The sequence below is a fragment of the Homo sapiens genome, chromosome 4 (assembly GCF_000001405.40).
Source record: "Homo sapiens chromosome 4, GRCh38.p14 Primary Assembly".
Lineage (NCBI taxonomy): Eukaryota > Metazoa > Chordata > Mammalia > Primates > Hominidae > Homo > Homo sapiens.
In genome coordinates, this window is record NC_000004.12 from 8,845,206 (window position 1) to 8,872,405 (window position 27,200).

General features: G+C 59.4%; 1 protein-coding gene across 2 annotated transcripts, besides 5 other annotated features; it reads right to left on the bottom strand.

Annotated features, from left to right (window-relative positions):
- On the bottom strand, nt 871-26,634 carry HMX1 (H6 family homeobox 1). Of its 2 annotated transcripts, none has more exons than NM_001306142.2 (2): nt 26,016-26,634; nt 871-1,119 (listed from the first exon to the last, which is right to left on the bottom strand). In NM_001306142.2, exons 1-2 carry the CDS (start codon nt 26,407-26,409, stop codon nt 941-943), a joined length of 573 nt encoding a protein of 190 aa, NP_001293071.1. In that variant the 5' UTR covers nt 26,410-26,634; the 3' UTR covers nt 871-940. The 2 variants fall into 2 exon arrangements, with proteins under 2 accessions (NP_001293071.1, NP_061815.2); NM_018942.3 differs by lacking the exon at nt 871-1,119 and adding an exon at nt 21,843-23,140.
- Nucleotides 11,682-12,226: an enhancer, noted in NCBI's record as "H3K4me1 hESC enhancer chr4:8858613-8859157 (GRCh37/hg19 assembly coordinates)". NCBI's record gives its function as "activates a minimal SCP1, AML or CMV promoter by ChIP-STARR-seq in naive H9 embryonic stem cells {active_cell/tissue: H9 hESC(naive)}" and the evidence as "EXISTENCE:reporter gene assay evidence [ECO:0000049][PMID:30033119]".
- Nucleotides 12,227-12,770: an enhancer, noted in NCBI's record as "H3K4me1 hESC enhancer chr4:8859158-8859701 (GRCh37/hg19 assembly coordinates)". NCBI's record gives its function as "activates a minimal SCP1, AML or CMV promoter by ChIP-STARR-seq in naive H9 embryonic stem cells {active_cell/tissue: H9 hESC(naive)}" and the evidence as "EXISTENCE:reporter gene assay evidence [ECO:0000049][PMID:30033119]".
- Nucleotides 13,316-13,858: an enhancer, noted in NCBI's record as "H3K4me1 hESC enhancer chr4:8860247-8860789 (GRCh37/hg19 assembly coordinates)". NCBI's record gives its function as "activates a minimal SCP1, AML or CMV promoter by ChIP-STARR-seq in naive H9 embryonic stem cells {active_cell/tissue: H9 hESC(naive)}" and the evidence as "EXISTENCE:reporter gene assay evidence [ECO:0000049][PMID:30033119]".
- Nucleotides 14,447-15,065: an enhancer, noted in NCBI's record as "H3K27ac-H3K4me1 hESC enhancer chr4:8861378-8861996 (GRCh37/hg19 assembly coordinates)". NCBI's record gives its function as "activates a minimal SCP1, AML or CMV promoter by ChIP-STARR-seq in naive H9 embryonic stem cells {active_cell/tissue: H9 hESC(naive)}" and the evidence as "EXISTENCE:reporter gene assay evidence [ECO:0000049][PMID:30033119]".
- Nucleotides 15,066-15,683: an enhancer, noted in NCBI's record as "H3K27ac-H3K4me1 hESC enhancer chr4:8861997-8862614 (GRCh37/hg19 assembly coordinates)". NCBI's record gives its function as "activates a minimal SCP1, AML or CMV promoter by ChIP-STARR-seq in naive H9 embryonic stem cells {active_cell/tissue: H9 hESC(naive)}" and the evidence as "EXISTENCE:reporter gene assay evidence [ECO:0000049][PMID:30033119]".

Sequence of the window (27,200 nt, forward strand, 5' to 3'; positions counted from 1 at the left end):
GATGGGCACAGCAGGTGGGGAGATGGCTGGAGAGAAAGGGCCTTCTGAGGCCAAGACCCCAACCCCACAGCGTTCCCCTGGACGAATCCAAAAGTAACGACCCCTAGGCAGCAGCAAATGCTGCTTAGCTCCTCTTAGCAAAGAAGAGTCCAGAAGGTTCTAGCTATGATTTATCGTTATTATTCTCCTTGCCTCACCCCTCCCATCTGCCTGCTGAAGCTTCCACACGTCAGATATTGAACAGCCTGCCTCTCGCAGTGTGCGCTGCCCCCGCCGTGCTGCTGAGGAGCTTCCCACAGCTTCTGTGCCTTCTCTGGTCAGAGGCTCCCTGAGATCCCTCCCTCAATGCTGACCAGAATGAAAGCTATTCTATGTCCTGTCTGCTTCCCCCAAAGTGAGCTCCTTGAGGCACACAGAGCGTCCTATGCTCTCTGAACCTGCAAAGCCCAACTCAGGGCCTGGTACTCACTCTACACCCAGTTTGGGGATGGATGAATAACTGGGTCACCCTGGACTGTTGTATGGGTTGTGCACTGCTCAAAAGTGCCTGGCCAAGGGAGCGGGTCAAGGCTGAAATTCAGCTCACTCTCTGCTCACTGCTCATCAAGCTGAACAGCCCAAAACTGCATCGAGCTGGAGGGCAAGTCTTTTCCTAATTTCCACAAAGATGGTAGAGAGGCTGGCTGCCACCCAGGAGGGAGAGAAGGGAAGGAGAGAGAGGGGAAAAGGGAAGGGAATGTGATCTATTTTAAGTGCTCAAAATTTGTGTCCACAAACATTTAACAGTGTGCCCCCAGGGTTAAACAAGGGAATGAATGTGCATTCATCATAATAGGCTAAGTTACACGACAGTGACAAACAAAATCCAGGTGGGTGCACACACTAAGGTTTATTTCTTGCTCACACTGAGTGCCCCCTGTGGGAACACTGCTCCACGCGGTCACTCGGGGGTCCAGGCTGACAAAGGCTCCACCGTGTTGTGGCTGCACCATCCAGTCCCTGCGGCCTCCTCCGCCATCCAGAGGCTCCCACTGTCACTTCTGTTCACTTTGTATTTATCAGCTCTGGTCACCTGCCCCTCTCCACACTGCACAGGCTGAGGTGTAATCTTCTGTGTGCCTGCAGGGGAGAAAAACCAGGTATTGGGAGCACTAGTCATGTCTGCACAAGGTGTCAGCTAATCCTGGATGCTCCACTGCCAGCCACATGGCTCAAAACCCAAACCTGGCTCACAGAGTGGTCTCCAAACTACAGGGACCTAGGACTCCCCGGGAACTTGTCAACATGGGGGTTCCCACTCCCAGAAACTGGTGAAGTAGGACCAAGCTGGGAACCCAGGTGTAACAGGCTCCCCTGGGATTCCAATGCAGTGGCCCTGGGGCGAGTGGCACTGACCATAGGGTGAAGTGCCACCTGCAACCCCATGAGTCCTGAGCAGGCCTCCTGCCTCTTCCACCTCTCACACTCCCCTGCAAACACCCCACACCCCAAACCTCTCACCCCTTACCCCACCAGGCATTGAACCATACACGGAGCTCCTACTGGGCTTGTGAACGCCCCTTTCATGTACCCAGAACCCCTTACCCTGGTCTCTAGGCTCATCCTTCATGCTCAGTTCCAATGTCTCCTCCTACAGGCAGTCTTCCTGGATCCTCTGAAAATAATTGGCCCTTCCCCTGATCTCCAGCATGTTGTTGTTTTAGTGCTTCTTTTTAGCCCACATTTTAATCAGTGGCCACTGTCAGGCACCCCCTGAGGGCAGGGTGCCAGCTAGGGGTTCCCTGTGTGCAAAAGTGACATGGGACACGGAAATGACTATGACTCAGCTCCTGTCTCAAAGTGCCAGGCCCAGGGCTGCTGACACAGTGGCAAAGTGGGAATTCCCTGACCATTTGCATTGCCACATCAAGGGCTCTAAGAAAGTCTACAAATAAAAGTACAAAGCCATTGAGCCGGGCGTGGTGAGGGATGCCTGTAATCCCAGCTACTTGGGAGGCTGAGTGGGGAGGGTTGAGCCCAGGAGCTCCAGTCCAGCCTGAGTAACGTAGCAAGACTCTGTCTTTAAAAATTAAAAAAAATAATAATTTAATTTAATTTAAAAAGCCACTAAGTGATCTGATGTCTCCTGAGAATATCTTTGACTTAAGAATTCCTGGTTCACACCAGGAGGAGCAAGATGTTTCTGGGAACGTGGTTTGAGAAATGCTGTTCACGGTGAAGCCACATCTGCAAAGAGCTATTTCTGTAACGGGATGCCGCCAACAGACGGAAGCCACTGAGCCCTGCTCTTCGGAAGATGCTGGGCCGGGCACAACTCCTGTCCCGAGAGCAGGCGGACCTGAAGGAACATCGGCCAGACACTGGACACGTGCAAACCACCCCCTTCTGTCCCCACAGAGATGCTTCTGCTCAGGGCCAAGGGCTCCCAGGTCACAGATGTGGAAACAGCCTCCCGTGGAGCTAGCAGTGCCCAGATTTGAACCTGGAGCTGTGGTCTTTCCAGTATATGAGGCCTGCCTTGACTATACTGCCTCCTTCATTATATCCTGCATACAGTTGGTACTCTGTAATTGCTTTCTGGACACAAGAATAAAGAAACAGGATTCAGAAACAGGGGAATGGGAAGGACAAGAAGAACCTCGGGGTTGGCTGGAGTGGCTCTGGAGAGGACCTGAGCTGAGAGCCAGTGGATTAAGTTGAACTGGAATCAACGAGCCCCCTATACTCCAGGCTTTACGGTAACTGGAACAGGCTCCGACTCCCTGGAGCGCCAGGTCCAGGGTGACATCTGAGCTCAGCGAACCGAATTTTGAATCTAAAACTCGACACTCGATTCAGTTATTGGACAACACTGAAGTATGTTTGGAACAACTTGGGTCTGAGAATCTGCTTTTTCAACTGTAAATCTTATGATAGCTAAATTCAGATCAAGTATTTCCAATAAAACTTCGGCATCTGAATGGAGATGTGCTGTAAGTAAAAAATGCATACTTTTGTGCTCTCCAAAGAGAGTCCGAAACATGTAAAGCAACTCAATATTTTTATATTGATTGCATACTGAAATGGTAATTTTGAACATGTTGGATGAAATTATCATTTATTTGCAACTGTTTGTTCTTTAATGTAGCTACTAGAAAATTTATATCACATATGTGGTTCACAGTCATAGCTTCTATTGGACAATGCCACCTTGAAGCCTATGATATTTTGATAAAATGGAAATAAAGAGTTTGCGGAAATTTTATGATTGTTTTTTACTCATCTAGGCAGAGTACTTGGAATGCCCTAGTTCAATCCCCTTGTTTTACAAATAGGAAACCTGAGGCCAGAGAAGGCAAGTAAGTTGCCTGGGTCACACAGCATGTGGATGGAGCTGGGCCCATAACTTGGCACTTGCTCCAGGCATGCTTGGAGGTGCCGGCTGCTGTAGACCAACCTAAACCAGGCTCCCCCATCCCCCTTTTTTCAGATATGCCTTGCAAGAACACAGATCTGCAGGCCACTAGAACCAAGCAAGATGCCAACATGCCTGACACCCAACCTGGGTCAGAAGATTACCCCAGGGCAAGTAGCAAGGAGACATCATAAGGGCTTTTCCTGGTTGGTGAAGACCACAGGCTGCTGCCCAAGGGAAGGGCCTGGAGTCCCTGACACTTGGCCATCTGTGCACCGTGCTCAAAGCCTCACCTTCCAACTACAAAGAGAAAAATGTTCCCTCTGTGAAAAGGTGGGCTGTATCCAGCAGAGGGTAACCTGTCCAGCTCACGTTACCGCAGGAGCAATTCCTCCTCTCTGAACAGAGTGCAGCATCGTGGGGGTGGAGACCCGGCTGAGGGGGGTGGGCCTCCTCCCCCTGCCCGCTGCTCCATCGTGGACGTCTTCTCTCAGAGCCTCGATTTTCCCATCTGTGAAACGGGGGTATGAAGTGTGGGATGAAGCCTTTTCATGAGGTTGTGAGACGGGTCCAACCATGGCAGCTGTCATGAGCTGAACTGTGTCCTCCCAAATGTGTATGGGGAGGTCCTGACCGGCAGCACCCCAGAACGGGAGTTTATTTGGAAATAGGGTCTTCCTGAGGTAAGCAAGCTGAAATGCAGGCAGGGCCCTACCCCAAGCTGAGTGGTGTGTGAGGACAAAGAGAACTTTGGACACAGACTCACTAGAGGCAGGGCAGCGTGAAGCCAAGGAGAAGGCGGGCACTCAGCTGGCACCACGTGGCCTTGAGCCACAGATTGCCAGATGCCATCAGAAGCTGGAGGGGGCAGGAAGGGCTCTCCTCTAGAGCCTCTGGAGGGGCACAGCCCGACCGACGCCTGGGGCTCAGACTTGTGGTCCCCAGAACTGCAAGATAAAACATTTCAATTGTCTGAAGCCCATTGCCTGTGGCCCTTGGTCCCGGCAGCCCCAGGACACTCACGGAGACACACGCAGGGCAGCTCTCCTGGGGTCCCCCCGGCCCCAGCGTGCGGTCTTCAACTGTCATCAGGCCCATGTGGATGCAACCCCAGGGGTTTTTCTCCCTCTCTTCCAATCCTCTGCCCTTGCTGGGTAGGGCAGGAAGAAATGGGGACCCTCACAGGAGGTCTCTGAGCTGGAACAGCCCCTCCGGGCATCGGGTGTGGTCTGCCATTTGTCATTTAACTCCACCCTCAGCCCGGAGTCTTCAGATGAGGGTTCTCTGCCCTTGCTTCCTGTCAGGGGGGCCCGATGGGAGGGACACAGGTGGGCAGGTGACAAAGGAAGTGGCCAAGGGTGTGTCCCAAACCCTGTGGGTGTTGGTTTCTCTGGGCCTCCTTCTCCCACAGCCCCACAACCCCCCTCAGCCCACCCATGTGCCGAAGAGTGTCTCACGTGGCAAGCCTGGCACCTGATAGGCACACGGTGAGTCTGTTGACTGAATGAGTGAAGGTAGACAGGGTGCTGGCTGGGGCTGGGTAAGGAGTGGAAGAGCCCAGGTTGCAGACCGCTGGGAAACAGATGGGGGTTCCCGGAAACCCAGGTTCAGCCCAGCACCTGACCCTCACATCTTTGCCCCTCAGAGCCGACCTCTGCCCGTGCCCGCCTGCCTGTGGGGAGCCTCTGCACAGTGTGGGAGTCCCAGGCACCACCTTGGGGTGGTCAGCTCTGCCCCGACCCCTTCCGGTGGGGTTCCTGGAGGTGTTGTCTCCATCCCCACCGCCCCGGTCTCCACTGGCCCTGCTGAAGCTCATTGTGGCCCCTCCAAGCACTGTCCCTTACCCTGACCTCGGGCTGCAGGATTAAGCCCAGGCTCCTGGCTGGGGGGCAGACTGCGCCCTCCTCCAGGCCTAGCCTCTGCTGCCCTCCCTGGCCAGCTCCCTGGACTCCAGGCCTCTCAGGCTCCCACAGCATCCGCACCTCACCCCACAACACATGACTTGCCCACAATCGCCTCCACCACACCCCATCCCACCTCCTACCTGTGTTCACACCATCCCTTCAGTTCAGAATATTCTTCTGGCTATCTGCCCCTCCGCCTCCCTGGAACACCAGTGTTAGCGCCTGCCCTTCCCCGCGGGTGGGCGTCACCACTCCACTCACCCAGCCCTGCGACTCGGTCTTCGCTCCTGGTCTGGATCCGGCATCTCTCCTGCTGGACCCAGGCTCCTGAGAGGCTGGGACTGTTGCCGCCAGTGTTGTCTGGAATCCTGGTCTCCAGGACAGTGCCCACATGTGCTGGGTGCCCCAGAGAGTACACTGCCTCTCCAGACACAGCTGCCCCCTTGGCCGGACTGGGCTCCCCCAGGGCAGGGAGTCTGGAATCCATTTCTGGGTCTTCGTGCCTAGCACGGGGCCCTGGCAGACACTCTCCAGGCTTCTGGAATTCTGAACGGCATTCCCATTTGCAAACACAAAAACAGAGGCTTGGAGCACCTTAGCCAGCTGCCCAAGCAGCCGTCGTTACTGAGCAGGGAGACCAGACCCCGTGTGTCTGACTCAAGCCTGAGGGCCCCCTTTGGTTTGGGGCCTTACAACACAGGAAGGACAGGCTGGGATCTGAAGAGGGTTCGGGTCTTCGTGGCAGAACAGAAGGCCTACGAATGGCCCCCACTCCCATCCCAGGCTTTCTTTCCCACAGGCTGTGCTCAGGGATGGCCTAGATCCAGCTTGGGAGAGACCCAGGCCCTCGACAGGACAGGATGCAGAGGTGGGCATTCTCACAGCTTCCCTCCATGGCTCCCGCGGGTGTACAATGCACCCCAAGGGGCAGCTGAGAAGCGAAGGCAGCCAGCACATTACTCCTAGGAGGTCTCATGGTTCATCACCGGTCGGGGCACCTTGTAAGCTCTGATGCCATCCAAGGGCCCTCTGTAGAACAAGCACAGACACATCAGTTGGATACAAGACCCCCTGAGGCCCACTCACGGATCACCAGAGGCTCTGCGGGCCTGAGGCCAGGATGCCCCCGAAGGGAAAGAGGAGGCCTGGGACCCACGGTCGTCTCAGGCATGAATCTGCCATGGGCCTGTGGGCCAGTCACTGGGCCTCTCGGGGCCTCCATTTCTCCATCATAAAACAGGAGCCTGAAGTCTAACCCCCAAGTCCAAGGACTCTTCCTCCTGCTTCCCAGTGGGGTGGGCTTCCCTGACATCCTGGAAAGACCATCATTCCCACCAGCAGCCCAGGCCTGGGCACTGTGGGGACACACTTTCCTCCGCTCATGCCCCGAGGCCAGGCAGCGGGCTGGAGACAGCTCCAGGCAGAGATGGGAGGGCCTCGAACCTGCGTCCTGTGTCAAGGAGGCACCAACAGAAAACCATAAAGGGCTCAAGCTGGTTCCCGGGCAGGCAGCCCCTCTCGTCCCTAGACACTGCAGTGGGAGTGCAATCCAGGGTCTCCACCTCTCCTGACCCTTCCAAGCCCCGGCTCTGGCTCCAAGGGGCTGTGGGCAAGGAGAGCGTGATGAGTATTGACCCTGCATTCAATGGGCAATCACTCATGTTATTTTGGGTAACAGACCTTGGGTGAAGCCAATTTAGTGGCAATTTGTAATAAAAATAACAGATGGGCTCAGCCAGCAAGGCAGACATCCAGTGAACGCGGCTGCAGGGAGGTGTCGAACCTGCTGGAGCCGCCTGAAACCCAGGCCCTCACGCCCTGCATCTGCTCCACTGCACTTTGTCACGGAGCAGCTGTAACGACCTTGGCTATCATTTTTTGAGCACCTAGGACAGATGAGGAAGTGGTAGATCAGAGAGGTCGGAAGCCTTGGACAAAGCCACACAGCCAGGAAACAGGGGGCTGAGACTTCCTCCAGGTCGGCCTGACTCCAATGCCCGGGCTCCCTGCTCTGCACCACGCTGCCTCACAGGAGGCTGCACACGCGGGGCCTGGGTGTGGGGAACTGGACGCATCCCACCCCTGTGTCTGAGCTCACGGGAGTCAGCCTCCGGGGCTGGGGAAGAACCAGGTCACTGGTGCAGCTGAAGGGCTTTACAAGTCCTGGTTTTGGTGCTTTGTGGCCAAAACTGACAGCATTCTCTTTTGTGAATTTTCCCCTCTGTGCAGGGCTTCCAAGTTGCCTCCCAATAAATACTGTCCCCTCTGCTTTAGCAACAAAACTCTTTGAAGATAGGGGTAGCCAGAGAAACGAAAGCAGAAATCAGTGAAAGAGGCTTCTGGGCTATCTCTAAAAGCTGAGAGGAGGCCCACCTTTGCCTCTTGCCCTTCCCCTTATTCCTGAATAAAACAGGAATGTGAGAGCTGGTGCTTCAGCAGCCATTCTGTGACCTGGAGGATGAAACTTATCCACTAAGGATGGCCAAAAAAAAAAAAGCAAGATAGAAGGAGTCCCTGGGTTCCTGGCCACACTAGCCCTGGGCTGCCCACCTCCCACTGTGGTCAGTGCCCTGTCAGCAGCCAAACACAGATTCTGACTGGCCCAGTTTACAAGAGCCTCCTGTATTAGGGTATTGACTCTATTTCTTAAATGGAAGCCAAGTCATGGTAGCTTACACAAGACAGAAAGTTTTGTTTGTTTCTCACAAACAAATAAATGAGTGAAGCTGGTAAACCATCCAGGAGGTAGGACAGCTCTGCCCCAGGTCACCAGGGACCTGGCTCCTTCTATCCGAGGCTCTGCTTTGCTGTAACTAAATTGTCCTCACCTGACCATCACAGCCCCATTCCAGGCAGCCAAGAAGGAGAGTTTGAGGGTCACCCAACTTCCTGATAAGTCAAAGATCTATCCAGATGTTGCCCGCTGCACATCTCATGCTCACTGGTCAGAACCACATCATGTGACCGGGCTGAGCTGCAAGGGAGGCTGGGAAATGTAGTCTTTAGCTAAGTGCCCAACTGAAATCCAGAAGGGTTCAATTAGTAAAAGGTAAAAGGGGAGAATGCGGCTGGGCATGGTGGCTCACACCTGTAATCCCAGCACTTTGGCAGGCCAAGGCGGGCGGATCACCTGAGGTCAGGAGTTCAAGACCAGCCTGACCAATATGATGAAACCCCGTCTCTACTAAAAATACAGAAATTAGCTGGGTGTGGTGGTGGGCCCCTGTAATCTCAGCTACTCGGGGAGGCTGAGACAGGAGAATTGTTTGAACCCGGGAGGTGGAGGTTGCAGTGAGCCGAGATCACACCACTGCACTCCAGCCTGGGCAACAAGAGCAAAATTCCATCTCAAAAAAAAGGGGGGCGGGGGAAGAATGGATCCCCCTTTCCTCACTCTGAGATCAGATAAAAATGTATGAGTATTTTTAATCTTTTTATAAAGCTTTTTGCTTTTGCGTTTACATCTTGAACCAGCCTGAGAGGAAGTGTGTGCCCTGAGCCGACCCATGGCCCTGCCCTGCCATCCCTTCCTGCTGATCCCTGCATGGTGTGCGAGAAACAGCTGTCCATCCCCACCCACCCCTTCTCCCTGTCTTACCCTGCCTCGAATGGGTCCTGGAGGCCTGATGTGAAGGACACAAGTCCCTGCCCTCCAGGAGCTCGCAGCCAGGCAGTGGGGGGTCGACAGATCCTGCTACACCTCCAGGGAAGTGCTCAGGGGCTGTCGGCCACCCCTGGAGGGTAACAGCTGTGCTGAGGGCTGGGCTCAATCCCCCAGCAGGGCCTGGGCCCCATACAGGCTGATGCCGGGGAGAACCCTGAATGGGATGAAGAGCCTGAGGCTCACAGAGGCTGCTCAAATCCAGGTACACATTTGCCATAATGCCAGTGAAAATATCACTGCTGGGACACTCCTGTGTGTTTATGTCAAGGAGGGGTGTTAAACTTCACATGGATTAAAGGCCTGAAGTGCAAACACTGAGGTTCCCCCAAGCAGCAGGAATTCCCTTCCAGGCTGCAACACAAACTCTGCCTGGGCTGCCAGCCTGCTCCCTGTGGAATCTGTCCTCAACACTGCCACATCGGCTCTTGCCTGAACTCCCAGCCTGCCAACCTGCACTACAAACTTTGGGCTTGCCAGACCACACGCTCATGCCAGAGAATTTCTTAAAATTGCATATGTGCTCCCTGTCTCTCTGTCTATCTAACTATTCTATTGATTCTCTTTCTTTGGAGAACCCTAATTCCTAAGAACAATACGAAGAAAAACATTCAAAACATGAAGTCTAAAGTAACAGTAGTAAGTCCAACATCACCCAGCACACTTCAAACCATTTTGTAGCTATAATCACAGGGAGGGATTCATTCTACTTCCTAAAATGAATCTGTAAATACAGAAGCGTGCAAAACAATTTCAGTGAACAATGGGAATCCTAGCACATGAGAAGCACTCAACTTCTTTCTTCCCCCACATCTTTCTTATGCATGAAACACACGTGTCCTGCTAAGTACAGTGAGTCACCACACAGCAGACACCAGCAGGCAACCATCCCTCAGCCAAGAACAGGAGTGACGCCCACGCTCCACCATGGGCTTCCCCCAGCGCCTGCAGTCCCTCTCCCCCGTGGACTCCACGCAGATGAGCCCGTCAGGCTCCTGCTCCAGCCTCATCACAGACCAGGAAGACCCACGCTGTTAGATTCATTTTACAGACCTGGATTCAAGCTGCAGCTAATTGGCTGTGCAAGGCTGACCTCCACTGTGTGGCTGCGGTGAGGATGAAGCTGCTGTCTCATTCACCCGTTTATCAGTGATGATGCCTACCTCTGGCTGCCCTGAGCAGCTTGCTGGGATGGCAGAGCCTGAATCTTGTCCCCAAGGAGCTCACAGTCTCACAAGAAAGTCAGACAAGAAACAGCCGTGACCTCAGGGAATGCAAGGGAGGCAACGATGGGTGGACCTGAGACTGCTGGGGGCCAGGCGGGAGGTCTCCTAGCACACTCTGGGGGTCGAGGTGAGTGCCCTGGACAGATGGCCAGCTGCCGGGTGACCCACCAGGTGCAAGAGTTCTGGCAGAGGTCCAGAAGGTTCTCTCACCTGGCACTTAGCAAGGTCAAGGATTCACCCTCCAGGACACTCTGCAGCCCAGGGATGTGGCCAGGACCCTTGGAGACTCCCAGTCTGTGCTTGGGTGTGAACCGGGAGTGAAATGTGACCCAGAAGTCGCAGAGAAAGTTTCAAGCAGCTGAGGAGGTGCACGTGAGGGCAGGAAGGGCCTGGGGAGTGTGGGAGGCTGGGAGTGAGAGCCAATCTGCCTGCTGACCTGCAGAAGCCTCTGGACTTGCTCTCTGAAAGCAGGATCCAGCGGGAGCTGGAAAGAGGAGGTTCCTGTACGGGGCCAGCCTGCCCTCCCCCTCCCCACTCAATGTGGTGGGGTCCCTGGGGATCTACGCCCTCCAGCGGACAGTAGCATGCTGGAAGGGAGCTTGGGGACAGATGAACAACAGGACCACAGAAAACCAAGGGGGAAAAGGCCACTAGTATAGAACAAACGTGTGCTCATAGTGCACGCCCAGCTGTGCAGGTTGTTCATGGGAAGCCGCTGTGAGCGCTGGACCGTCTCAGCTCAGTCCAATGGAGAGAGGGAGGGAAGGGCCCTGAGTGCTTTTGAGTGGCATGTGAGCAAGTGAACTTCCCACCTTCCAGACAAGACATAGACAGTTGATAGATTCCTTTTAAAAAAGAAAGAACCGAAAAAATGAATTCAAGCAATCGTGGCAGAAGCGTCCTATTTAGAAATATAGAGGCAGGTAGAAGCAGAAAGAGCTGGCGGGGTTGACAGCTGTGTCCTCCGGTGGGGGTGGGATGAGGAATCTCTTCTGGTAGTGGTTTATGCTCTTTGTAGAAGTGGAGGACATTTTAAGTTGTGTGCTGAGTAGCTCTGGTACAAATGAAGACTAGGAGGAGGAGAAGAGGCCGGGCAGGGGAAGGGGAGGAAGAAGGGGGCACTAGGTCTCTCTGAATTTAAACCGTTTAGGCGTCTATGTAGACATTTTTCTTTCTTAAAAAAATGGGGATGCGGGTGGTGGCTACACGGGTGTGCACATTTATCAAAATTCCTCTGATTGCACTCTTAAATTTGTGCTTTTCTCCCTAAGTACATTCACTTCCCATTTTGAAGAAGGAGGGGAGGGAGGCTTTCCATCTTCTACCTGGTTATACGTTCGAATTTCGTGCCTTGGCGATGCATTGCTTGTTTAAAAACTACATACATCATGAGGGAAAATCTTTATCAAAAACTCTGGTCGGGCGCAGTGGCTCAAGCCTGTAATCCCAACACTTGGGGAGGCCGAGGCAGACGGACCACTTGAGCTTAGGAGTTCACGACGAGCCTGGGCAACATACAGCACCCCTTCTCTACAAAAAATAAAAATTAGCCGGGCGTGGTGGCCGCGCCTGAAGTCCCAGCTACTCGGAGACTGAGATGGGAGGATCACTCGAGCCCAGGAAATGGAGGCTGCAGTGAGCCCTGATCGCGACACTGCACTCCAGCCTGGGCGACACAGCGGACCATCTCAATAACAAACCGAAACTCTGGCTATCTCCAGGTAGTCGAACTTGGGATGCCTTTTGTTTTCAGTGCTTGTAATTTTCTGAATTTTTAAAATAACGAACAGAGTCTCCTTGCGACATTAAATGCAATGCAGCCGCCGAGGAAGCGTCGGGGACAGATGGGGTTGGACGCCGTCCCCACTTCCTCCCCTGCAGCCGCCTCCAGGCCGCCAACCTCGCCCAGCCGGAGCCTCAGTCCTGGAGGGTCGGGCGGCGGCGGCCTTCCCCTGGAGTGGCATTCTTGTTGCCCGTGGGGCCCCCTCCCCAGGTAGGAGGCAGGAGGCGGGGTCTGGGGCAGCCTCCGCTTTCTCCTTCCTCCTTCCCCCGCGGCTTCCCTGCTGCGCCGGGCCTCCCAGGTCTCACCCCGAGTTTCCGCACCCGGTGGGGCGCGGGTTCCGGCCCAGCTTCTCTCGGAAGTGACGGCTGACCTAGAGCCCATCCCTGGCCTCGGCCTCCGCACCCCCCCGCCCCCCTGCCTGTGGAACCCGCAGCCCAGAAGCCTGGAGCCTCTCTGCGAGCACGCAGGGGTCTCCCAGCTTCCGGATCGTTCCGCCGTTCGCCCTGGGTCTGAGTCTGGGGGTTCGGGAAACAATTTTGGACGTTTCTGGTTGGATTGTGTCTAAATCGTGCATTTTACGCGACAGGGGACTCGAGGTCCTTGAGGATCCCAAACTGCCGCAGCCCCTCCCTCCTCCTCCCCTTGCCCTTGCCCCTGCCCAGAGAAGTGCGCTCCTCCAGGGTCATCCACACGCGCCGTGCCGAGCCCCGGGCCCCAGTTCCAGGAGCCGCGTCTCTACGGGCCAGTGGGTCCTGAGAGAGTAGGGCTTCGGGCGCTCGGGGAGAGGAGGCGGAGGAGGGGTGAAGCCGAGGGGTGGCTTTTAACGAAAAAGAAGTTGAAGCATCAGCTAAGCCATTAGGGCTAATGCGATGTACTGTAAGACGGGGATCAATGCCGGGCCTCGGGGACCGGCGTGGGGGAGGGGGCAGCAGGCCGACCGCCCCCAAGCCGGTCGAGGCCCCCGTCCATTTGGGGGAAATGGATTTTCGCGATTTAAGAAACAAACCCAAATCAAATGAGCGAGGCCCGGATGTGCTGACGCTGCGGTTACGCGCGCGGAGCTGGAGCCCCGAGAGCGCTCTAGGAAAGGCGCAGCGGCGACCGCGGGAGGGGGTGAGAAGCCGAGGCAGAGAGGTCCGGAGAAGCAGAAAGAGATGCCGACCGGCAGAGAAAGAGCGAGACAGACACACCGAGGGGTGAGGGGGCAAAAGGGAGCAGCCTCGCAATTTTCGCAGAAGAAAACAGGCCGGCGCGGCTGGGGATGCGCTTCTGGGCCAGGCGCGGCAAGACCCCAGGAACTAGCCAGAGCCCCAAGACCCAGGCGCCTATTTGAGCTCCTTTGAGTCCGGCAGGAGGCCTAGGTCCATTCGGGAGAGAGAGGTGCCAGCCCCTACCTTGTGCAGTCCCCTCGCCCGGACGTCATGGGGGGAGTGCCCCCTGAGCGCAGGCCCCCGGGCGGCCGGGGCCTCGCTTCTGGCGGCCGGGAGAGGTCGGCACCGTGACACTCAGGCACACATACACCAATGCCCCGGGCCCGCTAGGGACGCTGAGCTCCAGGCAACGAAAAACGAAGGTCCTGGAGTCGGTCCTGAGTGCATTCCTCCACTGGGCCCCGTCGAGAATGAAACTCTCGGAGCATCGTCACTGGGAGGTCCTGGGGGGACACTGGGGTGGGCGAGCTTCTTCAAAGACTCGGTTTCCACTGGGCCCTCCCATTCCCTCCTCTCTTCGTCACGCGGTGGTGGTGGTGGTGGGGGGTGCAATAGCCCCTCTGGTTCCTGGGGCACCCCTTGTGGTGGGGTGTGCCCTCCTGGCTGGACCCACTCCTTGCTGGGTGCAGGAGCAGAGTGGGGAGGAAGGAGGCCGGTGGATTTGGCTTCTGGGCAGCCCACCTCTGCCTCTCCTGGGGCCACACTGGGCTTATCTGTAAAATGGGCACAGGTGAGATAGAGTTGGCCAAGGTCTCTTCTAGCAGGCTAAGGGTCTGCTGGGGAGGCGGGCTCGCTCCAAGGCTGGCCCCCCCCCACGCCTCTTGACAGTGCCACCCCCAGGATATGAGGAACCTCAGGCAAATATGGGGGATTCTTGTCTATATAAACAGTTTTAGTCATCGCAAACTCATAATGTCAGCACCATCCCGTTAGCACGATTTCTCTAGTCCCGATTGACAGCCCTCCCAGAACCTGGGCCTTACAGGTCTGAGCTGGCTTAGAGCTTCCACCCCAATCCCAGAAAAGGCCCGCGGGACTTAGAAAATTCCAAAAATAAAAGGCACTCCACAGTATGGGGCCCTCTGAGGTGCAGCCTGGGGGCACAAGGGTACTGCCTCTCAGACCCCCATGTGGAGAGCCCGCTGGAAGAGGGAGAGGAGGATTGAGGAAGTGGGGAGGGTGCGAGACCTCCGGAGCTGACACCCTCCCCCACTCACCCAGACCAGGGGTGAGCTGGGCTCAGCATCCTCATCTCCTCGCCCTGTCATTGCCGCCACTAGAGAAATGGGGACAGAGTCTCTGCCTTCTCTACACACGTGCGTGGTCTATGTGACGTGGAGTCGCACTGGGACCCGAATGAGGACATCCCCCCGCCCCTTCGTCATCGTGGGAATACCGTGGAACAAGGCGGGCAAAGGGCTGATCAGCTCCCGTCCCGGCCCGAAGAAAGCTTCCAGGGGAGGCGGAAGGGCCATTCGCCATTCCAGAGCAGGCGCGGGCAGTGGCCCACGGCTCTGGGCCCGGATCTGTGTCCACCTCTGGATACCCAATTCCCGCCACCATGTTGTTGGGAGCAAGGAGGCACAACTGCCCGTGGTGGGAGTGGAGGGCTTAGGTCCCCATTAGAACCGGCAGAGCCCCGACGGGGCCAACGGCGGTGCTGACAGCGCGAACTGCGTCAGGGGCGAAGCCGAGTTCGTGGAGCGCCGTTGCGCACAAGTGCGCGGGTCAGCAGGGCCCTGGTGCCTGGACACCCCCGGGTGCGCGCGGCGTGGCTGCCCTGGTGCCCCAGTGAGAGCATGACTGCGCGCCAAATGGAAGTGGGGGCGCCCCCTGGCCTTTCCTATACCCGGGGCCAAAACCGCTGGGACCGATATACTGCAGGAGTCCGGGCACAGGCTGAGGGGACCGGCCCGTGCGTTGAGCGCCTCGGAGGTGCTCCGGGTCATGGTGGGTGCTGAGCGGGAACACGGAAGGCTGTGTACACAGCAGCAAGCAATGCACCCGCGCTCCCGTCATTACATCGCGCCGCCTTCACCCCCGCTACGATGACCACTCCGCAGATGGGCAAGACGGGCTCAGAGAGATGAAGTGACTTTCCCAAAGCCACACAGCGGGCCAGTGAAGGCACCGCGCACGGTCCAGGAATCTAACCCTTCCTGGGGAGTGGGGAGGGAAGGGCTCGACCCGAAGGGGCCAGGCGGCAGAGAGCCCCGCGTCCCCCGCCACGGGCTAAGACGCAAGGCGGCCCGCCGTGTCTCCACCTGCGCGCCTCGAGCTTCGCTCCGCTCTAGCCTTCGGGTTAACACCGCTTCCTTCCAGAAGCCTAAGGAGGCCCGGGCGGATCAGACGCCTCCCTTCTCCGCAGCCCCATGCCCTGCCCGCAGCTTGAGCTCACCGCCCTTCTCGGGGTGGCGGTGCGGAGACCGGACGGCTCCACTGTGCAGACCCCGAGGGGTAAGGGGCCGGGTAGGGGAGGGGAGCGAGAAGTGGCGAGGTGAGAACTGAGGGGCGAGGCTGAAGGCTGAGCCAGACTTCCAGACGCCAGAGAGACGCCAGGTGAGCCGGGCGGGGGCGGGGGCGAGGGCGGGGGAGGGGGCGGGGCCGGAACCGCGGGGAGGGGGCGGGGCGCCCGGGAGGGCCGCGAGCTGGGAAGGTCCCGGGCGGCCGGAGACGGTGAAGAGGCGGGGCCGAGTCGCGTCCGCGGGGTCCCGGACACAGCGGAGCTGGCGCCACTGTCGGGGTTCCGTTCCATCTAGGTCGGGCAGCCCCGCGGGTCCGGGCGCCGCTGCCCTCCTCTACCTGCTGGGAAGCGCAGGCCGAGCAGGGATGAACCTGGCTCCAGGGCCCCAGCGGGGCAGGCAGGGCCCGGACCAGAAGCTGCGGCACCGACTTCCCACTGCCCGACCGGGCGACGCGGGGCCTGGGAGGGGCGGGTCGGGATCAGAGCGCCGCTGCGCCCCGGAGGCCGCGCTTCCCGCGGCCTGTGCCGAGGAGCCTCTCCGCAAAGAAATAAACACGCCCTGTCTCCCCGACCCCGACTCGGGCCGGTCAGAAGTAGGGAGAATCACGCTCGGGAAAGGGGGGTAGGGAACGACGGGGGAGCCTCGGTGACCAGGGCAGATGCACGCGCGCGCGGGATCCTCGTGCGCCGCGAAGAGGGACGAGCAGAGGAGCATCGGAAGAAGACAGGCGAAGGGGACCGCGGAGCAGCGTAGGCGGAGCCCCGGGGGCACGGCCGAGGCTGCGCTTCAGGAGTGTCCGCCAGGCGCCTTCCCGGGCGGTTGGCGAAACCCGAGGAGGCCCACAGCTCTGGCCTGGGGCGCCGTCGTTCCAGGGGCCTCTGCGCCTCTCTCTGGCGTCTGTCTGGACCCTCAGAGCCCCGGGATCAAGGCGCCCATCCTCTTGATGGCGGGGCGCACCTTTCGCGTGGGTCGGGCGCTGCAGACCAAGCACGCCGAGTGCGTCAAGGAAGTGCCCGGAAACCAAAGACAACGCACCCGGGACCAAGAGGAGGCCGCTGCGCGCAACCTCCCAAACACTGCAGCGAAGTCGGAACCACGTCCGCGTGGGTGACTCGGGCTGGGGAGCCGGGAGGCGGCGCCAAGGACCCTTCAGCCCTTGTCCGTCCTCCCTGATATGTCCTCGACGCGGTCTGAGGCCTCCCCAGCGGAGGCGACGCCCCGGCGCCAGGTGCCCTGGGTGGGGGAACCCGGAGGGGGCACCACGACCAGTGGAGAAGGGGCGGAGGCCGGGAAAGCTGCGTGGAAAAGAGGAAGGGTTAAGACTGAAATCATTCTACAGAGACCACGTTAATGGGTTTAAATGCGAACATTCTAGCTAAGTAGAAAAAAATTTAAAAGCAGAGTGCAAGCTGGACCAAAGTGAGACCCCGATTGGGCGTAGATAAACCTGCAACCAAAACAGCCCCAGGCAGAGATTCAGCCGCTGGGGAGCACAAACCCCTAATGTTTCTTGGTAGTCACTTTTTGAAACATTTTATTATGGAAGTTTTCAAATATAAAACAAAATCGAGGGAGGCTTCAAGTGAATTCCCGTGTACCCACCCCTATCCCACAGTTCTTAAACCGTGACCAATCTAGTTCCCTCTATTGGCCTCCTTTTATTTGTACTAACTTATTTTTGTTGCCTTATTATAAAGCAAACACAGACACATTTTCACTGAATACATAAATGCATTTTCACTGATAATAACTTTTTTTAAAATAACAATACGGCTTAAGTTACAATTCCCAGTAAATCCACACTCAAAGGCAGTTGGCTTTTGATGTTGGAAGTGCAGACGTATTTCCATTTGAACTTCACTGCAATGTCCAGATAATAAAAAGCACTATTACTTTTGTAATAAAAAATAAACAAAAACTCAGCCCCACAGCTCCAGAACGTGGCGAGGGCCGTTTGCTCCCCAGGCGGTGAGGCTGGCTCTTCGACCACTTAGCTGTTCTCGGCGCCCGATCCTGTGTGTCCTTCCGTGCATGACACGCAGAGCTTAGCTCTGTGAGGACAGGGCTGTCCCCTCTCCGGCCCACCTATGAAGGGGTGTCCACCTCTCCGTTTCCCTCCAGGGCAGTCATTCATTGGGTGATCCGCCTTGGGGACCTGGGGATCGGCGAGTCCAGGAGGCCCAGCGAACGAATTTCCGGTGGCTGGGACCCACTTCCCAGCGGGACCCTGGATAGGCATGCCCACTCTGGCTACCAGAAGGGCAGGGTGGCCGAAGGGTATGAAGCATATGAGTGCACAGGCGGGGAGGAACAGCAGCAGCACCAGCGCAGGAGTAGCCCGCTGGCCTCCCTCAGGCGGGTGGAGGAGGGCGCCGGGGAGCCTCAGTGCCACCGTGCTCCAGAATTCCTGCCCCTCTCAGAACCCCGGTTTCCCTTTCCAACAAGTTGCAAGGTGGGGCGGAAGGCCACGAAAGACTCTTGGGGGAGAGGCACTGACAGAAAGGGAAAGAGAAGCCCACCCGGCCTCTCCCGCCTCCCTGGTGCTGCTCACCCAGCCAGAGTCCAGAGCCTTCCGTCTCCGCCCAGCTGGGTTGCCTTCGGAGTGGGCTCAGAGCCAAGGATCTGGGAAACCTCCCTGCATGCGGATGGGTGAGGGCACTGGGCACCCCTCCCCTGCACCTGATGAGGATCTTCTCAGGGTGCTCCCGCCTGAATGGGAGTCGGCGGGCAGAGGAGCCCCATGGGGGTTCGGGAGTGCAAAGGCCAAGCTGGGTGGAGCGCGCGGGGGAATCCACACCTCCAAGGGCACTGCCTGGGTACCTGCCTGTCTCTCATTTTGGCTTTGGAGGAAGCAGGGAGGACAGAGCCCTGGTTGCTGCCTGCTCTCTCGGCCAAGGGCCTGGAGTGGCCAAGGGCGGTGGGACCACCTAGGGGAAATGGGGCAGGCCCAGGTCGGCCTCCAGGATTCCAGTAGCTCCGATCCCTGTGGAATTTGACCTAGGCTGGGAATCTCTGCTCTATAGTCATTTCCCGAGGACAGGACCGTTAAGCCCAGACAGCACATCCTCCACGCCCAAACACCACCGTAGTGGCCTTTCCTGGTGCTCTGGGTATGGACTCTGCCTTTGGAGGTCCCAGATGCCCAACACTGGGGCAGGGTGGGGAGCTGATTTCCCACCTCTCAGGCCAGCTCCAGTGGGGATTCAGCTTTTATAGTCCCAGAGCACTGAGAGGCCCAGAGGAGGTGGGTCACCCACCAGTCCCACCACAGCATGGGCCCTGGGAGCTGGGGAGGGATGTCCTGTTGGCCTCACTCAAATCACAGGAGGCCCAGCATTTACAAATTACAGACCCTAGTTCTCACCATAGGTGTGCGGTGGGGAAACGGAGGCCTGGAGGAGAGAAGGGGTGTGATTACGGTCATGGGGAAGTCGGACTGGGTCCAGTATAGGCGTGTGTCCAGGATGTCCAGAGCCCGCTGCACCCACTGGTGCTCGGAGCTGTGCAACTGGAAGCCCTGAGCAGCTCAGGGTGGCTGGAATCCGGACTCAGGTGCGGAGAGGGTGAGGAGGTGGGTGGAACCCGCGAGGGGGGAGGGTGCATGGCGCATGTGGTGGAGGCAGATCGAAGCCATTCATCTTCTGCCAGTGGTGGAGCCAACGCGCTCGAGGTGCACCCGCGATCGATGGCGCCGGAGCTCAGGACTCAGAGGGGCCAGGCGTACCCCCTGCTTGCCCCCAGCCTGGTCCCGCTTGCTCTCCAGGGCTCTCTGGGTTCCAGGTCCTACACTGCTTTTCTCTGGTTTGTTCTGCCTTTGGTGCCAGCCCCAAGACGCCAGAGCCCCACGGATAACAGGGCAGGGCCAGCTTCCCTGCGCCCAGTTGGCCTAATCCAGCTTGGGATCTGTTTTCTCTCTTAACAGTGTTCCAGGCCCCAGCCCTTCCCTGAGCTCTGGAACGGTCCCCTCCTCCCACGCCGGCTCCCTCCTTCCCACCAGGGCAAGCCCTGAGTCGAGGCCCATAAGACGCTCTCCAGCCCGATTTTTAATTAATTCTATCGAAAGACACATCCACTCTCTCCAAATCTACCCTGCATTTGAACTGTGTAGACCCTGCACCCTCTGATGCTGGCTGCCAAGACTAGGCTTGGTGACCGGTTCCATGGTTCCCTAGTAGCCAGAGTGGACGATCTAAAACTGGCACCCATAGGGCTCTCACCCTTCCAGCTTCCTGGTGGCCCGGAGTCAGGTGACTCCTGGAGTGGTTAAGGCCACCTGTGAAGGGCTCCAGTGCTGACTGAACCGCCTGTAAGGGGATTCGCCTGAGGACCTGGGCGCCACCACTGCGCTAAGAGGCACCCTGCAGTCACCACACAACCTTGGGACTGCACCCACATCGGCCAGAAGCAGTCGAATAAAACAGTTGCATCACAGCGATAACCCCTTTGGCCTGAGCTTCAATGACCCCCTTCTAATAGGGCCGAGGAGGCAGGCGTCCTCGTGGTGCGAGTGCCCGAGGCCTCGCCAGTCTGAGTAGCATCGCCGTTGGGAAGGCCGAGGCAGTGCCACCGGCACACAGTGCCTGGACCTCAAAAGGAGAGGCTACTGCTGCTGCTTCTGCTTGCTGGGCCTGTGTGGGACTCGGAGGCTCCGCGGTGTCGCCGGCTGTGCCCTGGCCCCTTTCCTGGACTCGCAGCGATGTGTCCCGGTGACTGGGTGAGGCCAGCACAAAAGCGACAGAAGCCCAGAGGGCGAGGGTCCCAGGAGCCTGAGTCAGGGGTGCGAGGTCTAGAGGGCCCAGTGGGGAGAGGGGTCAGAAGGGGCGGGGGGTGAGGGTTGGGACTTTGCCTGAGTGGCCACGAAGAGCCTCCTGGGACACCCCTTGCCCCTCATGGCCGCCAACAGGGAGCTTTCATTAGTTTTATTGAGGCCTAACCTGAGTCCCTCCCAGATGAAACCGAGTGAGAACGGACTTCCTGGTTTAGCCAGGAAAGCAGTTGGGGCGCAGCCCCAAAGCAGCGAGGGAGCCCGGACACAAGCCTGGGAAGGGCTGGAGGGGGCCCAGGCAGCAACAAGCCTGCAGGGTGGGGACTGGGTTGGGGGAGGCCTGCTGCAAGGCCAAGGATGGCTGCCCTCTCTAAGAATCTCTCAAAATGCCCACGCTGTCATGACACAGGGCCTGGAACCCAGAGGTGTGGACCTGCGGGCCCAGAGGCTGAAGGAGGCCCCCTGGGCTTGCTGGAACCCTGGCCTCACAGTAAGGAACCAACTGATGGGCCGGGGCGGGGGCTGGGGCTTGGAGGACATGATTCTGGGTCAGGAGCTGGATGGTAGAGACACACAGATGCACTGACCCCCAGGCCCACTGCACGCTCTCCTTGGCCGTCTGGCGCTACCTTGATTGCCCCAAGACCAGCGTATGGCCCGGCTGCTGCCCATCTCACCCGGGGAGCGTCTACACCCAAGTGAAGCAGGACAGGGAGATGGGTTTTCTTAGGGGCTCAATTCTGCCATGGAAGTGAACTTTTCAAACCCGAACAACATATTTCTCCTAGGCTGAAACACACACCAAATACTGTCCCTCCCCCACCCAAAAGCAGCCAGCTTGGGGCTGATGGAGGTGGGGTGGCCCCAGTGGCCCAGAATAGGGGAACGAGCTCTCCTTCAGATCCCATCATCACCGGCCGTGAACAGCTTTGTCCACCACCTGAGTCCTCCAGCTGACCAGAGACCAGAGACTGCAGGCCGGGAGGAAGACCCAAGGCAAGAGCACGGTGGCCTGACCTTGAGTGCCACGGCTTTGTTTTGGCCCAAAGAAAAATTCCATACCAGATAGGAAATGGCTGTGCACACGGGGCGCCACACAGCCGAGCCCCTGTGACGAATGCCAGCGGCCATCAGTGGGCCTCTGCCTTCACCTGCTCCTGCCTTTCGGTTTCAGTCAAGGCTCTAGAACTTGGGACACACCATCATCACTTCCTCCTCCCTACTCCCGGCTCCTGGCCCTTCCCTGTGGTGTGTCATAGAAGAGGGGCACAGCGCTCATCACCTCCGACTAGGGTCTGCCCTGCCCACCTGCACCTGGCCCAGCCCTGGGCTCCAGGTGTCCCCAGTCAGCACTGAAAGGTGCTCCCAGGAGGGACGGCACCCAGCGCAGCTTGAGCTGTCTCTGCCCTCGTGATCACAAAGCAGTGAAACTGTCCAGAAAATGTCCCTTTTTATTCCATACGCAAATAAGTAGATTCATTTAAAAAAACAACAACCCGGAGGCTGCGACGTCTGCAGAGAGCCCCAGCCTGCCTGCTCCTGGAACGGACGATGGGACCCACAGGTCCAGGGTCCTTTCTCCACCAGCACCCGCGAGAGGGGTAGCACAGCCCTCCGGGCCGGCCTGCTGTCTGGGTCCCAGGAAAGGGACGTTTAGTGTTGGGGGCAGTCTGTGGGGACAGTCACCGCTCAGCCTTGGACAGCCGGTTCGTAGTTTTCCTTTGTTGCGCTGGGCTTGGCCTGAGGGCAGCTGCCCCGGGTGGCCATGGCCGACCGCTCCTCGCTGAGGCCGGGGGGTGGCCGTGGCGCCGGGGGCTGCGCAGCCCAGAGTCTCTGCATGGCCCCCTGTTCGAGTGGGGATCCAGCCTGGCAAATGGGTGGGGCGTCCCATTACATTCTAGAGGCGCTCCCCACAGAAGCTGAGGCCCGCCCGGCCGCGGCCTGCGCTCCCGAGGTATCTAGGAGGCCGCAGGAGCGACCATCCCTTCCCTAACGCCCCCTGAGCCCTGCGCCTGCCGCTGAATCGCGCGTCCACACAGGTCCACAGGGTCGTGGGGAGAGGGCCCGGCAGGCGGGGCTCACACCAGGCCAGGCATCTGCGCCCGCAGAAAGGGCACGGAGGCGGCGGCCGGGAAGGCGGCCAGCGGGTAGGCGAGGGCCCCGGAGAAGCCGAGCAGCGGTGGGGGCGGCGCGGGCGCGGCGGGCGCCAGCGGGAAGGGCAGGGTGGCCGGGGGCCCAGCGGCGGCTGCGGCCGGGGGGCTTTCGTGGTAGAGCACCGGCACGCGGACCAGGCGCTGCGCTCCCGGCGGGGACAGGCTGGCCGCCTCCAGCTCGGCTGCCAGCTGCCGCTTCCACTTGTTGCGGCGGTTCTGGAACCAGATCTTAACCTGCGTCTCGGTGAGCTGCAGGGAGGCGGCCAGGCCGGCGCGCTCGGCGCTGCTCAGGTAGCGCTTCAGGTCGAAGGTGGATTCCAGCTGGAAGACCTGGCTGCGGGAGAAGACTGTGCGCGTCTTCTTCTTTCGGCCGCCGCCCACGCCAACGCCGCCGCGTGTCTCCCCAGCCGCCGCAGGGACCTCGGCCAGCTCCGACGCCTCCTCCGTGCCGGCCGCCGGGCCACGCGCCGCCAGCTCCGCTGCCTCCCGCTGCACCGCTCCCGGCCCGGGGCCTCGCGGCCAGGCGCCCTCCGCACGGCCCATCTCCTCGCCCGTCTCCGGTGAGTCCCGGTCGCTGGCTGCAGGGGAGAGAGGGCACCACCGTTGGTTCTAGGGCACTGATTACCAGACTCAATCACTGAGGCCAGCCGTCCCCACCTTGAGGTCGCTCACAGCCACAAGCAGGAAGACCTTCCAGCACAGGGCTGGGCACCCAGCAGCTCTGGGGATGCACACATTGTCAGAACCGTGGGAGGCGGCCCAGAGACCAGGCAGCAGCTCCAAACCAACACCCCGCAACACACCAACACCCCGCAACACACAAACACAAACGCACACCCATGCCAGAGGACAACAAAGGGATGCAGAGCAAAGAAAAGAAACAAAAATACTACACAAGAAAAGCAGGCTGACCCCAGTGAGCACTCCCCACTCCCAGCTGCACCACGGGCGGCCCGGAAAAACACACAAACCTCCCGCAGAAGTCCCGGGACAAGAGGAAAGATGTCCTTCCGAGAAATGTTCACACCGAAAAACAAGCACAGGACACCCCCTGCCACCTGGCATCCAGCCCCACGCCAAGCTCCCCAGAAGGAGGAATGAAGAGTTCACAGGCCTCTTCCCGCGCCCTCTGCCCGCTTGCACAGAAACATTCCATAGTAGGAGGACAAACCAATGCAAAGGATCCCCAAAAGAGAACTCCCATCAGGTGAGGCTGTCACCCCCACACCACATACTCCTGTAGCCCTGACCCAGTGTCCACAAGGCAAGTCCACACCAGCCACAATCATGCTCAAAGGGAACACGGGCACATGCCACTCTAAGCAACATGCAGCAGCTGAGTCCTGCCCCAAACACTTTCAAGACTGGAGGTTCAGCCTCATGGGTTTGGGCTGAAACCAGAAGCTCACAGGCGGTGTCTGAGTTCATGTTCCAAGTACCAAGCTCCCCTACTCATCTCCTAGGAACAAGAAGAGGCCCACAGGCTGGCAAGGGATGATGTCAGGTTAAAGAGGCCAGCCGGGACCCAGAAGCACTTGCCCAGATTGAAGAGGGCAGCAGCCTCCCACTGCAGGGCTCTGGAGGCTGACTCGGACCCGCTGCTTTTCTGCCTTGGTCTGGAGCCTCCCGTGCAAAGGGCAGGCCCAGGTTGACAGGTTAGAGGTGGAGGCAGAGTTTGGCCTGGCCCTGGGCCCCTGGAAGGCTGTGCACTCGGCCGGGTGTGTGCCTGCAGTGTATTTGCAGCATTTGCACGCTCATGCAAGGGGTGCGCACACTGGTGGGCTTCTGTGCGTGGTTCCAGCTCTGTGCCTCATGCCCAAGGAGTGTGCACATCCCACTCACGCCCGTGGCCAATCCCCATGGTGTGTGCCCTCACAGCACCCACAGGGGAGTCAGGCAGCAGGTTGTGGTGCATGCTACTAGATCTGGGGAGTCCCTGCCTCCCCCCAATACCCCAAACTCACAGAGGCCCATGTGCTGCCACAAGGCACTAGGCTGACTTGCCAGCTCCAGTGAGGAAGTGGGACCCTAACCCGCATGGCACGAAATAAGGGGGAGCCGCCTCTGCAGGGGTGCCACCTGGGCTGCAGGAGGGGATGCACCCCAGGGATGAGTGGAGAACAAATTTCACCCTGAGAAACCCTTTCCATAGTCTCCCCCAGAAGGGCACTAGACAGAGTCGCTCGATTTCTGGGAAACCACGGAAGCCCTGCTCAAGTCTACGTGAAGGGGGTGGGGGCCTAGACTTCCTGAGTGTGGGTGCCGAGATGTGGGGGCTTTTGCAAAGGATCACTCCACGACATGGAAAGGGTTATCTAACAAGTGAGTGAGGGTCGTAGGCCACTTACTCCCCAGCACACACTAATATTCATACAGAGGACAGCATGGATCCCAGAGCCGGAGCCTGCAGAGGGCCCACGTCCTCAGCTGGCCTCAAGGTCCAAAGGCTGTGTTGGGGGTGGGGGGCTGGCTAAGCCAGGGCTTGGGGGGTTGGACTGGCTTTCCTGGCCTTCCTCCCAGGGGTCTTCCTAAAGGGCAGGTACAAAAGGGAGGCAGCGACCCTGGAACCCTGGGGAGGGGAAGCAGAACTAAGGGGTCAGATACCCAAGCAAGGGGGCAAAGGGGTTCTGGGGTTGAGAACCCCCAGCCCCAGTCTCAAGCCCTCAGCAGGGAACAAAGGCAAGGAGGGGGAGGGGCAGAAAAAGAAGAGAGAGGGGTTGGACTGGGGGCCTCAGAACAGGCTCCCTTCTTGCCTGGCACAGCCCATGCCCCTCAAGGACCAAGAGGGAGACCCAGGCCCCTGCCCCAGGCTGTCTGCAGCGGGCACAGAGGAAACAGGACTCTGGGGGGGCACAGCTGCCATGTTAGATGGCTCCCCTCCCCGGCCCCACCCCCACAACACTGCACCCTCTGCTCAATGCCCCCTTTTATTTTTCCACGTCTGATGCTACTTTGTCTCCCTTTCCCTCCATCTCTTCCTCCTCTTTTCTCTCTCGGATCACTCTTGGGTTTCTTTTTCCTGCATCTTCCCCTCCCCCCACCCCATTCTCTCTCCCGCAGCACATTCCTTTCTTCCTCCATCCTCCCATTTTCTTTCTCAGCCTCTTTCGCCTTCTCCTGTATCTTTCCCTATCCTCTTTCACTCTCCTTTCTTTTTTCTTTGGCCTCCTGTTGTCCCCTGTCCCCAGCCTCCCTGGGACCGGAGGAGCCCGGCAATGGGTGAAGCTATGGCCTGCAAAACCTCCTCGTTAGCGGAGCTCCTGCCCCAGAGGGTGGGCCTCCAAACCAGCCCAACCAGGGGCTCCTGGGGGCCCCACAAGGCCCAGACGCCGTTCCACAGAAGGGAGAGGATGGCCCAGAACGGGCGGCGACGAGCCCGAAGTCCCCCAGCAAATGCGCAGGGAGGAAGTCGGGCCCCACCGCCTGACCCACCCTCCCCGCGCCCTCACTCACTGTCAGGACTGAGGCCGCCTCCATAGCCACCGTGCGCCCGTGGGTACCAGCGCGCTGCGCCTCCGCAGCCCAGAGCGAAGGGCGGCCCGGGACCGGGGGGCGGCCGAGGACCGAGGCCCAGCGCGCCCGGCCCGAGCAGCGCACGGGCCCGCGCCTCCCCGCCGGGCCCGGTGCCCGCGAGCAACTGTCGCCGCCGCTGTAGCCGTCGCCGCCGCGCCTGCTCGGCGTCCTCGTCTTCGGGGTCGTCGTCGTCCTCCTCCTCGTCCTCCCGGCTGCCGTCGCCCTGGGTCGCGCGCCCTGCGCCCTTGGCCTCGGCCGCCAGCAGGTTCTCGATGAGGAAGGAGGAGGCGCGGGCCGGCGTGGCGCGCCCGGGCTCCGTCAGCTCGTCAGGCATCGCGGCCGCGGGCTTCTCGGGCTCGGCCGGGCTCCTCGGTCCCCGCTGGGGATGGTGGCGCGCGGCTCCCGGGCGCACGCGCGGGCCGGCCCTGGAGCTGCTACCCGGACCGCTGGCGTCGGGCCCCGCAGGGCAGGCGGCGGCCTCCGCGCCGGGCTGGGCTGGGCCGGGCCGGGAGCGAGTGCGCGCCGACAGCTGATCGGGCAGCCGCCTGGCTCGCCTTTCAGGTCGCCGTTCTGGTCGCCGCCGGGGCGGCCTCACTGGGGGCGGGGAGGGGGAGGGGCCAGCAGGGGCGGGGGGTCGCGGGCTGGGCCGGGAGGGCGGCCCGCTGAGCCCCGAGGACGCTGCGCCGGCCCCGAGCGCGGCCGCTGCCGGGAGACGCTGCCCAGACCTGAGCGCGCGGGCAGCGGCGCAGCCGAGGGCGGGCGGCCCCGGGCGCAGGCGGGGGGTCGCGCCGGGTCCGATCCCGCGTGATCAGTTCCCCCGTCCCGCGCCACCCGCTCCGTGGGGGCGGGGCCTGGGCTGAGCGGCCACCCATTGGCTGTGGGGCCCCGATGAGGAACGGGCTGGCCAATCACCGTCCGGCCAGAGCCGTAATTACCCCGCTGCGAGGAGGGTGTTGGACCGACCGTGAGTAACTGTGTGTGTGCGCGCGCGTGGTGTGTGCACGAGTGTGCGTTTGAATGGCTGTGTGTGTGTGGAGGGCGGCGTGGAGACCCCGGGGCTCCCAAGAAACTGCAAGAGGCTGGGCCACATTTTTTTATTTAAGACTTTGTGTGTAATTTAAAAAT